The sequence below is a fragment of the Homo sapiens genome, chromosome 4, assembly GCF_000001405.40.
Source record: "Homo sapiens chromosome 4, GRCh38.p14 Primary Assembly".
Lineage (NCBI taxonomy): Eukaryota > Metazoa > Chordata > Mammalia > Primates > Hominidae > Homo > Homo sapiens.
This window is the reverse complement of record NC_000004.12, coordinates 173,530,355-173,542,522: the sequence shown is the minus strand read 5'-3', so window position 1 is coordinate 173,542,522 and position 12,168 is coordinate 173,530,355. Positions and strand designations below refer to the sequence as shown.

The window sequence follows — 12,168 nt, the reverse complement described above, 5'->3', positions numbered from 1 at the left end:
GTGGAAAAATACAATTATTTCCAAATATTCAGATAGTTAACAATAATTAGAAAAATCATAGGGTCAGCTGAGTGAATCTTTCAATTATTAATGTAGCTGTATTAATACCATGTGATATTAAGGTTTTTTAAGCAGAGAAAGCCCAGTGAGTTGCAGCAGCCACTCTTAATTCTGTGACTTTTTAGTGAAATAGAGCAAATGGAAGTACTAGATGGAGGAAAAGAAATGGCAATGTCAATAGAGAAATGCTTCTGAGGGCAAGTTCTCCTACATGATTGTGTATTCTTGGCTGTGTAAGTTGAGGACTCTTGAGTTTCTCTTCTCAGATGTCCCCATTGTAAATACCTAGGTCATGCTTTTAAAAAGCAGTATAATTTACAAAGCAGAGTCCACTCCACATTGACTCAAATGCCATCTTGTTATTATGACTATTTTATCTTTGATGAACCATCGTATTTATCTTTATAAGCACTTCATTAAATATCACTCTGTTGTCTGGAAAAAGAAAAATTCAGTGTTCTAAAAACTAAGCAATTAAACATCCCAATTAAATACATAAATTTTGTAATAAAGCAAAAATAGTCACTTGATTAGATTCTGTAATTTTATTACTGACATCATCTTTACTTGAATAGCACAAGTTGCATAGAACTTAACAATGTTTGGAAAAGCAGAAAAAATTACTAGAAATGTAAAGAAGCAGTTTCCTGTTTTATTTAGTCCAGATTAATAACGGTTAAGTTGCCATGTTTCTTCCAGAAAAAGCTTTTTCACTTTTTTCTCAGCAAGTCAGAGTTTACAGAAATCATCTCATAGATATACTTTATTATTCCAGCTTAATCCATCTGAAAAAAATTCAATGCTTTTTGACACCAATTGTTACACTATGCATTCATTTAGGAAAAAACAATATCACAGTAATAAAAAGATTCTTATATTTTATGCTAGTATTAAAAATCACAGCAGCTAATATTGTCCCATATACAAGAATCGACATATATTTTCTTGGTTGAGTTTCTTCATCCAGTAAAAAACAGTTTGAAAGGCACTGAATGGAAGAAAACAAACAAGCAAACAAAAACAATTCAATTCAATTGGATCCAGCTCCTTACCCTCTTGTTTGTAGACAAAGAGCATCAGCTCCTAAGCAAACTTTCTTCTTCAGATTTTGTTTCTGTATTACTCCACTCTTATTTTCTAAATACCTCTTTAAGCCATCATTTCATAACTGTAGTTAGAAAAGGCTTTGCGCATTTTCTCTGATTATTTTTTCATTTTTAGATGGACCACAAGCAGTCTCATGGGAAAACTCTACTTTTTGGTAGATTCTGCAGAGGGTAGGCAGTCTGTCCAGGGCACTGTCCGTTTGTCACCCAGCACAAATAGAGAATCCCATTACCTACAAAGGTATTAGGAAAGTGCTCCCAGCTGAAAGCATTTATCCAATTCCAATTGTTGTTTGAAAGTCTAAAATACTAAAGGTGGCATTATTCCAGGAGCTACTGTTTAAAACAATGCAATGCCCGTTCAGAGAAGAAAATCAGTGTTTGAAAATCTGAGTTTGTTTAAAAAATAATAACTATGCATCCAAAAAAGAATTCCTGAAGAAGCACTTATATGCCAGGCACATGTTTTTAATTTTAATAACATTGGTTTACCTAAATAAATATGTAGAACCTAATAATTGTTCTCTATATATTCATACTTTAATACTATTCTATTTTAGTGAGTTTGCAAAGAGGCTAATGAATAATAATGCAGAAAAATATGTATCGATCAGGACAAAGTTGCTATGGTTTATGGGCACTGCAAAATGCTGTGTTGAAAACAATTCTGTTAAAAAGTAATTGAAAACTGCTCCAATTTTAAAAGAAATAAATGTAGCCATATCCTTATAGGATAATGTCAGATAAAAAGTAATCATGTTCTCTCCACAATTGGGTTTGCTGGCATGTATATGGGAGTAATAATGCTTTAAGATTATTTTCATAGTTGTTCATTTAACGTGGGATTAACATCAAAATCTTCGTAATTATCTCAGATCACCATTTGAAAGTAGTGTGGCAAAACGCGTTAATGGTTAAGACACCCTAGCAGTTTTATACTAAACAGATTAACACACGTGAAAGTAATATTATAATCTTTTGCATTGAATAATGTGCCAGACCAATTTTTTCAGTGAAAATAGAATTCTTATGAAATGGTACCCTTTCATTAAAATAGGTAGCTACTGCTTCCTATTTCTTGAAATACCAAAGCAATCAGCTAGAAAACTGTATAAGAGCTATATAGATGAGCATGCACGGCTATATGGACTCAAAATATTATTCTGTGGCTTTGCCATTGCACAATTTTATGGAAACGATCATTTCTGAGGTTTGCTTTACATAAGATTGAGAACCAAAATATTGCAATAGGAGGGTGATACAGAATAGTGAAAATACAATCCAGGTGGGATTATAAACCAAAAACTTTTAAAGCGTGAAGGAGATTGCTTATTGGCCACAATGGCTATGAATTTATTTTATGACCACCAGCAAACAAATGTAGGTCCATACCTTACACATTCTTAAATAATAAGGAAGCACATTTTAGTATGTACTCCAGAGTCTCATAAAAATATTTCTCTGCCTCAGCATCCCATCTCTAGAAGTTGACATGAGAAGAAAATGGGTATTCATTTGGAAAGTAATATGAAGTTGTAACATAATTACTCAAGTCCTGCCTATCTTTCTTGAATTCTTGTGTAAAGCAGACTTCACATCCAAGACCTTATTATTTGATAATCCTTGTTACATATTACATGGGTCGGGGAGGGGCCTGAAACCTTACAAACTAAATCGAATGTAGCACAGGCAGGTGCCTCTCCCGAGAGAGGGAGATTATGTGTTAGAAGACAGTATCTGTATCACTTCAGCTGTGTCTGAAAAGGGGGATGGGGTGTTGGGGATTTAAATCATATTGTTTCCACTTATGCAGAGAGAATCCATAAAAAGAGATTCATTGTCATATTTTCTTTTTGAAGTGTAGTATTTGGTTTTTTTTTCTTTTTTACTTTAAAAGTGCTTCTCGGTATAGAACAAAGTAAATATTACAGTTTTGTTCAACAGCAGCCAAGATTTAATTGTCTGTGAAATATAAGGCTTACGACCTGAGTCGAGTCCACTACTGTTCTGCTGATACAAACTAGGCTGGCCTACGAGGTGACCGAACGCACCCAGCAGCTGATTTACACAGAAGAGCCATCTCCAAAGAATTAAAAGTGGGCCAGGGACAGCCACACGCCTGCAGGAGTCCATCCAAAGGGCTAGGTGCTTTATTCTTTCTGCAGCAGATTTAAAGTGACTTTGTACAAAAAGTCAAACAAGAATAAACAGCTGTGGAAAATGTAACAAATCATGCTAGCAGTTGAACAGCGAGGGAGAAGGGAAATCCAGCAAACCGCTAACATGCACTGAAGAAAAGCGAAACGGAGGTAGAAGAGAGAGGGAAGGTGGACAGAAAAGGAAGCTGGTAAGGACACGACACTGGTTTCCACACGCGAATCACGCACTTTATTATTGCGTATAGCTCAGTGACTGTCAGGAACCTGAAAAGTATGTCCTTCAACACAGCTCTGCGTGCCCGCGGCCCTGGGGTGCAAGCGAGTCTCCTCCGCCCTCCGCCGCCTCCCCCCGCGCGCGTCCCCCTCTCCTCCCTGCAGTGACTCCGCGGGTCGCTTCCTCCACCCGCCCGGAGCGCAGAGGAGAAAGCGAGCGGCTGCAGATTTGCCCCGGTGGCACCGTAGCCACAAGCCAACCCGTAATTGCAAAGCAAACAAGGCTGAAATACTGGATTGGTCTCAATCGTGACAAGATCTACGCTTTTGCCGCCAATCTGTTTGTGCAGCTCTATTTAAAGGCACTTGATTGAGGAAATGTTGAAAATAGCGGTGAGGGTTTCCTAATGAGACCTCAGGAGGGAAGCGGAGGCCTTAGCCCGGCACCAGGGTCTGGGAGGTGAGGGTGGGAGGCTCATGGTTAACCCCTTCCTGCTCGCCTCCGGCGAAAGGTCCTCCGAGACGGAGCTGGGGGTCCACCCTGCCCGGAGCGGTGACCTCTCCCAGCCTGAGCGGCGGAGAACCGGCCTCCTGGGTGTGGGGAACCGAGAAGAGGGCTGGGGATCACAATGAGAATTTAACCAGGATGGAAGGGGCGCCCCAGTGGCCATCGCAGTGACTGGAAAGCTGGCGACCTAAATCGGGGGTGGCCGCTCTGATCGCGCTCTGGTCCCTGCCCCGCAACACTCCCGCGCCGCCGGCCGCGAGGGCTGAGGCCCTGGCGATCCCCGTGGAGCCGCGGCTGCGCTCAGCTCTAGGGCACCGAGGCGGGGTGGTGCCCCCCATGCGAGTTGGGAGAGCAGCTGCCCTGGTGGGCGACGCGGGCTGACAGGCATCGCTGTCGGGCTGGGTCTTCAGGCAGCTAGAACGGAACGGAAGAAACCAGAGGCAGGAGGAGAAAATACAGGAACTAACAGTGCGACCCGCTCTGGCTGGCGCTTTGATTTTCCCATTTACTCTAGCCTGCCCACCCCAGGTACGTGTCATTATCCACATTGTTCAGATGGGGAAACTAAGACTTAGAGACGCCTAGGTCCTTGCCCTAGATCACTCAGCTAATCGTGGGGTGCCTAGAGTCGGCCCTGCTCAGGATGTTGGGAGTGGGCACCAGGAAGGCCAGGCTGGGGCTGAGCCTCCCTCTGAGCCAGCGCAAGTTGATGCAGACCCAGTGCAGACCCGATCGAGCCAGAGGACGGCTTGGAGATGAAAATTTGTTCCCTAGTGGGCCACATCTAACTCCTCTACTAGTTCTAATCGTTTTCAAAATAAAGGAAACTAATCTGATTGCAATTGGGGTAGACGGTATTCACCCTATTTCTCTTATTCATTTTATATGGGTTGTCTAAACATCTCCTTTGTTCAATGCATTGATTAGGTTGTCAAGAAACCCACAGTCACAGGAGGTGACATATGCATGCCCAGAGATCTACCCAAAAGAATATAAGTGACAGTACCAGCAAGGAATTCAGAAGAGAAAACTTCATTTGTGGGAGGGAGTTGGGGGAGAGAGGAGAAGCAGTATCTGGAAAGGCTCCCTGGAGGAGGTAACATTTAGGCTGGACCTAGAAGAAACGAAGTGTGGATTCTCCAAGAGAGATGGGTTGTTTGCCAGCATACTGGCAAGTCAAGAGGTGCCAGACCCACAGTTGCGGACGAAGTAGGAGTCATACTTTCATCCCCTGCTGCCATCTCCCAGCTGCCCTCCTAATTTGAACACTGCGTTGACCACATTTTGAGCCAAGGTCCTAATCCCTTTTAGGATTGAAAACCTATGGCTTGAGAGTGGACACCCAGCAGGTAGACTTTGACTGTCTAGAACCGTGAATTTAGACCAAAGGGGACTGTCAAGGGCAGGGATGGGAAAATGGCACTAGGGGCGCTCTCACCAGAGCTCCTAACTACTAGAGCCAAGCATTCCCGCGCTTTTCCCAGAGGGATCTGATCTGAGATGTACCTTGGCCAATCTGCAGTTTGTCTTTCTGGAGTCACAGGCAGTCGTAGACTGCGAAAGTGAAGATCCCCAGGCGGTGGAGAGGACTGGTTTCGGTTATACATCCCCATGAATGATCTGTGCCTTCTGTCAGCAAAACAAAAAAGCATCAGTCACACCAATTTAGTGAAGTCTCCAAACGTATTCTGAATGAAATTCTACTTTTTTTTTTGTACACAACCAATTTCTTCGTTTGAAGTTGGATGCTTCGCAAGCAGAATGCAATTCCATTTCTCATTCCTCAAAGTTGTGGCCTGTGTTAACTTAAGTGGGCATTCACACAAGTATTAAGAAGAAAAACCATTCTCTTCTGGAAAATGGAACAAAGTAGCACTTCTCCAAGCAGGGTGCAGATATATAATCTGTAACAACAAATTAGCTCCCTAGTGCTGCGCATTTCCAGCTAGCATCCTGCCTTCCCTGTTTATAACTTTGGTGCCTGCAATTATTTTTATTTTAATTTTCTGTCACTTTAACAAAAACCAGAGCCTTTTCTTTTAATGTTTTGTACACAACATGTTCATTTTGATAAGATGTTCTTTCCTATCCTCTTTTAGCTTGCCTTTCCTTGTTTAGAGTTCTGTATCAGGCGTTTCTAATATTTCTCTCTCTTTTTTTAAGAACTTGTCCCTGTCTTGCTTTATTTGTTTGTGTGAAATTTAGTTTGAAAGGAGATCAGAGAGAGCAGGAGGGGTTTGTAATAAGAGAATGACCGAATGACCCAAAGGCTGATTATCTATCATTAACTGGAGACTTGGTGTACCCAAATTACCAAGGAGACCTCAGTCTGCCGGATCCTTACCCAGCTAGAAAGGCAAGCCTGGAATGCACACACTGAAACAGGCTCATGGCATTGCAACCGAGGACGTAGTTCACACAAGATTTTCTTAAGGGGTTTTCCTGCAAAACTCAACTCAAGTTCAGTAGATAAATTTTCTAGATTCTGATATGTTGTACTCAGGTAAAAATCTCTGCCAAAAGATTACCTATAACATTTCTGTAACTAACTTTTTTGTGTTGTTTTGTTAGGAGCAAAATTGCAGTTAATTGTCTAAGCTCCAGAGAATATTGAGAAATCAAACCAAGCTGCTTTTGATCTGCTCACACTGCTAAACCCAAGCCTTGTAAAAATCGAGGTTTGCCATTAATATTGACAATAAAAGTGTTTCTTTTTGTTAACCTGAAACCTAACCATCCTGGTGTAACTCCCCTGTCTATAAGCAAAGGCCCTGGAAGAATGTAGGAAAGGTTTGGAGGAAACTGTCAGAGCTAAAGAAATCCATCTACATGAATTTGCAAAGGAAGCTATGGAACAGAACTTCCCAGGAATGCAACACTACAGTTAAAACTGGGAATGTTCCTGGGCCTCAAGTCAGAAGCAAATCTTTCAGTCAAATAAATGTTTTCTCTCCAAAGCCGCATTTGAAATTGCCAGTTGAACTCATATTTTATTCTGAACCCCATAATACACTGCAGACTAGGTGAAGTCCATTATTTACTATTTCCGTAGAACACGTATGAAAAATCACACTTCCTCATCTGAATGTTGAGTGATTTCCTCCCGGCTTGAAAGAAAATGTCGCTAGTGTGTATGTAATTTGCTTGAAGCAATAATTTGAATGAGTATTTAACATAAATCCTATGGGATGTAGGTTCTCAGACCGGTTTTGCTCTAAACTCTATATTTTACTACAAAGTAGCAAAGATTAACAAAGATCAGATTTACTGTACCTCTTAGGACTAGTATAATAACGTTAATAATACGTCCCATGTATCTACATCATGCTGCTTCTTTGAGGCCTTCACGGGGTTATCTTATGGTCCCTTTAGTCTGAATGAGGATTTTAGATTTACAGACACACTTAGACACCTGGAAAAATATTTAGTTCTTCCTTATCAATGAAAACCCTCCAGTGCAGCAACATATCTACCAGTTAACATGAGGATCTAGTCATTGATTATTTAGAAAGAAAGGAAAATTCTACTGACTGTGGATATTAAGATTTTTCTTAAAAGACTTCAGCATGAATCAGTATCTCATTCTTCCATGCCAGTTGCAGATTCAGTGATAGGGAAAAAAAGAAAAGAAAAGAAAAAAAACCTTGTAATCCCAAATGCTGCTAGACGGCAAATTACAAGGGAGAACTGGAGAGAAGAAGAGAGAGAGGGAGGGAGGGGGGTGGAAGGAAGAAAGAAGGGAAAGAGGGAGAGGAGAAAGAGGAGGAGGGAATGTGCAGGCACTAAGCAAGCCCTGATTTTCTCCACCAACTTAACTGTTTTCTAATTAGAGCTGGACTGAAGGATTCATAAGCAATCAGCCCCTCCACTGTCATCATTCAGCTGAACTAGCCCCTCCCCCTCCATCTCTCCATGTAGGGAAGAGAAAGGAAGAGGATCCAACCCCTAAATATGCCACCCCCTTAACCAAAAACTTGCTTAAAAGAAGAGGAAAAAACTTGCTTAAAAGAAGAAGAAGAAAAAAAAAAACCTCACAAGACACAAGGGCAGCTTTTCTTATTCTTCCTTTTTTGAAATAGACACTCAAATCCAACAAAATTTGATTCTGCTTTGCAGATGTGTACTTTGAGCAGCACGACACTTCTGGAGCCACTTTCACTTGGTATGTCTGTAGACAACTACTTCTCAAAGGCCAACAAGAAAAGACTATACAAGAAGAACTACACAAACAGGAAGGACTACACAACCCCAGTTAGAGGGAGACCCTTGCCACCACTCAGACAATATGCCTTGTTCTGAGCATCCTAAACATCCTGGGACTAAGTGGATAGCATGTAAAATGACTCCACCCTACCCTGGTACAGAAAAGAATGCAGAGCTATCAGAGTGTCGCAAGAAGCACTGTCCTTGGAGCAGGTGGGCTGAGGTGACATCTTCAAGAACACATTGCTCCTTCTGTCACCTTCCAGGCTTGATGTTCTTTCGATGGTTCTTAGCTTGTTCTGAGGCTCATCTCATGTAAGAGCATTAAAGATTCTTAAGGGAACGGTCAGAGTCACTTCCACTATGTTGGTTAGAAAAACAAGGTGAAACAAGATTTGAAAGACGATGATGAGAATTGAGCCATAATTCCCATGAACATAAAATGTGCATTTATGACCCTCTGGCCTGATTCTTTTTGGGTCCAGTTTATTTTGGGTTCTTATGAGCAAAACAGAGGATATAAACTGCCCTTGCCTTTGAAATAATAAACACCCTGAGACAATCTGTATTTTCCCTAAAACCTAACTAAAGATTTTTTTAAAATTAGTTTAAACCAGATTGATTTTTTCAAGTATAATAATATCTCACAAGACCAAAATGTTTGCATGGCCATGTTCAGCCTCTCTGCTGCTCTTTCCGTCTTTTTCCAGAGAAAGAAGTAGCAGTGACGGCAAAGAGACAAGAGACATGAGGAGCAAAATAAATGCTTGAACCAGATTCTGTCTATTTGGCTGAAGGCAGTTGACATGTGCAGTACAGTAGGTACACCATCAGCTACAACAAAGGTACAGAATCCCAAACACTCACCCAAACCTGGGCTGCCTCCTTGTGAAGCAGTTTCTGGACACGAGTAAGGCCGGTTTTGGCTCAGCCCTCAGCCTCTGAGGAGAGGCAGAGAAGCACTCCTAGCTAAGATTCCTCCACAGGCACCCAGAGGAGCCCCCAGCAAGCCAGTTCCCTGGGCCTTTGAGTACTTACAACATGTGCATCAGCAGCTACACTAGTGCAGCCCAGGAGTGGGGTCCCCATGCTGACATCGATGTCAGGGACTGTGCCTTTCTCCCTTTCTTCTCCCACTTTCCCTCTCATCACCAACACCACCCTCTCCTTCATTGCCACCACTGCCAACACCTCCATCACTACCACCAGGATGCCCAGGACACCTAAATTGAGGGCAAACTTGAGATGGCATCCTTGCTTCACAACTTCCCAAAGGAGCAGGCTAACCCAGTATCCTGGAAAACCTGGAACAAAACAGGCCAAAGGACACTGCAAGAGAAAAGTGGATGCGTTTGTGCATTTAGGGTAGAGCTCAACCAGTCAGGGCCAGCCTGGCCTCCCTGAGTCAGTTACTACAGTTGGGGACACCACTAGGGTTCATCCATTTGTCCCCTCTCATCAAGCCAGCTTTCTAAGGCAGTGACCTCTGGATTTGGGTTTCTGAGCCACATCAAGTCTTAGGCCCTTGGACCACAGCAGTTAACTGATAATGACACTGTGAGTGAGAACTGATGTTCAGATTAGCATCTTTTATGATTTCTTTTTTCTGTACCATGTTGTCCATTTCCTTTACCACTTGCAATGCTATCTGGAGCCACGAGGTAATTCATTCATTTTTGTTTGTTTGTTTGTTTCAATTAAAAGCATGAGAAAAGCTAAATGTGGCAAGTTCTGAAGCTTTCAAAAGTGAGGCCACTCACCGCTGGTCTCTGGTGGACAGAGCATCTCAATCCCTAACTCAGCCCTCCTCTGGACTCTTCTTCCTCCCTTCAATTCCCAAAACTCCCTTTGGGTCTTAAAGCAGCCAACCAACTAATTTCCCTGAATTTTTATATGTTCCCAGCCCCAGTGCAATCTTACTTTGTCTACCTGCTCCCAAGGCCTAAATGTGTTTTTATAAACAGACTTTTCAAAAACGTATCAAATGTCAGAGAATTGAACTACCAGTATTTACACATTCGGGGTTTGCCTCCGGGTGAAAATGTAAACAGAACCCCCAACCACACTACCTGCATTCTTTCCTTGAAGAACCAGGTCTTTAAAAGGCTCTCCTTGTGCTAAAAAATTGCAGACCCACGCAAGTTGGGGGTTTAGAGCAGTAGGTCACTATTTTGTTCCGAGCTCAACTGCAAGCCCCTGGCGCTTACCAACGAGCCTAGTTTCAGTTAATCCCTATTCTAGGTTCAATGCTTTAAGACGCTTGTCTGGGGACGTTCAAGGATGTTAACCCCTTTCCTAGAAAAAGAATGGGCCCTGCACCGACTCTAATCCTGGGCTTTTAAGTCCCTGTCTCCTACCGCCCAGCCGCGGCAAACCTGAAATATATATATTTCTCAATCCTGCTGCCCAAGACTCTAGGGCTAGTGGAGGGCAGAGCCCGAGCACAGAGTCAACTGCAACACCGAAGTTGGGCGCCCTCCATTCGCACTGACCTCGCCTTCCTGCCCCAACCACTTTGTCGGCGGTGAGCAAGGAAAGGACTGTCCTTGTGGAGTCCTTCGGGTGGGGATCGCTTTGTGGCCTGCGGCCGGACTCTGCCCGCCTCCAAAGGGCGATGCTCAAGGTGGAGTCTTTGGTCTCCCTTGGGCTAACCTGGCCTGACCAGCGGCGAGCCCCAGGCCGCCCTGTCCCGCGCTGGCGCCGCAGGCCCTCGCCTCCCTCTAATTTACAGCCCGCGGGCTCCTGTTGACACCGTTTTCCACACCGAACTCCTTCGGGTGGAATCTGCATATACACATCAGCCTCCCCTCTCGGCTTGGGGCCAAGCCTGGGGTGATTTCAGCTCCTGCCATTTACCACCCGCCCTCGCCGCACGTGAGCCTTCTCAAGAAGCTCATGCCACACGGGCGCTGCGGCCCGGGTGCCCCGCGGCCCGGTGACTTACAAGTGGAGATCCATTTTCCGTTATAATGCGTTCAAGATCACCAAGGCCAGCAGTCTCAACATCCACGAGCCGTCCTCCCGGCCTGCCTCTTAAACTGGCGTTTAATGGTTCCCCTCCGATAACTAAACCTGCTTTCCACAGATGCCCGCTTTTATGAGGGAGGCAGGAATGCAGAGATATATTTATATGTTTGTTCATAAAAACTGGAAAATAAGCTCTGAACACGCCGTAAAAAATATTCAGTTACTTACCAAACAGGCTAGTTAAACCAGGGGAACACCGATACCAGCCACACTACAGATTCGGGGAATCGAGGTGCCCGCACTTCAAAATCGCCCAAGGTCTTCGTAGGGACTGGTGTCCCTGAAGGATGTGGAAATAACAGCATTTACAATCGGCTTGACATGTTCGCCCGGAGGACTCAGCCGTCATCTCCAAAGTTTGCCGCAATAACGTGAGCCACCCCAAACAGCTCTAACCGGGGTAACTTGGTGGGTAACTCAATAGCCACTGAGACCGGCGTTTCGAGCCTGTAAACGGGTCAAAGAAACACCCTTCTCCAGCCGCTCCTCGTCCCTGCTGGGGCAAAGAGCGCCAGCTCCCAGCCGCGCCTTTGTGGGGGCCCCCACCGCCCGTCACGAGGCTCCCGGCGCCCCTGCATAAAATTGTAAGAGGCTGCCTGCGTATATTTTCTTACCTCGATTACCTACAAAGCACTTCGAAAAGCAATACCTGCGTTTTCTTTCTTTCTTTCTTTTCAACCAGAAAAGAGAGCAGAGTGATACTGTACCTGGTTAGAGATTCTTCAATATTTGAGACTTGGGGGGAAAATATTTTAATAGTGAAGCATCTGTTAAACACTTGCATTATCCTCTGACTGATAAAAAAAGTTTTTTTAACCCTGCCCCCCCCCCCCGCCAAGTTTTAATTATCTTATGGTTATGAGGAGGTAGCCAATCCTGGAAGAGGACCTCG

At 43.7% G+C, this 12,168-nt stretch overlaps 2 long non-coding RNA genes across 12 annotated transcripts in view, besides 1 other annotated feature; one reads left to right on the top strand and one right to left on the bottom strand.

Annotated features, from left to right (window-relative positions):
• HAND2-AS1 (HAND2 antisense RNA 1) overlaps positions 1-12,168 on the bottom strand; it is a 62,656-nt gene that overhangs the window by 48,733 nt on the left and 1,755 nt on the right. Inside the window, exons 1-5 of one of the 11 annotated variants that reach the window (NR_136199.1) lie at positions 11,984-12,152; positions 11,445-11,556; positions 8,401-8,610; positions 5,553-5,675; positions 591-4,460 (exon numbers count right to left, since the gene is read on the bottom strand). This is a non-coding gene — a long non-coding RNA (HAND2 antisense RNA 1). Of the gene's footprint in view, positions 1-590; positions 5,161-5,552; positions 5,676-8,400; positions 8,611-11,444; positions 11,724-11,890; positions 12,153-12,168 lie in introns of those variants that run through there. The other 10 variants (NR_136201.1, NR_136194.1, NR_136200.1 and 7 more) reach the window with 10 other exon arrangements.
• On the top strand, positions 4,460-6,774 carry LOC124900816 (uncharacterized). Its single transcript, XR_007058375.1, has 2 exons — positions 4,460-4,574; positions 4,974-6,774. It is a non-coding gene; the product is annotated as an uncharacterized LOC124900816 (long non-coding RNA).
• Positions 5,288-5,789: an enhancer, noted in NCBI's record as "NANOG hESC enhancer chr4:174457885-174458386 (GRCh37/hg19 assembly coordinates)". NCBI's record gives its function as "activates a minimal SCP1, AML or CMV promoter by ChIP-STARR-seq in primed H9 embryonic stem cells {active_cell/tissue: H9 hESC(primed)}" and the evidence as "EXISTENCE:reporter gene assay evidence [ECO:0000049][PMID:30033119]".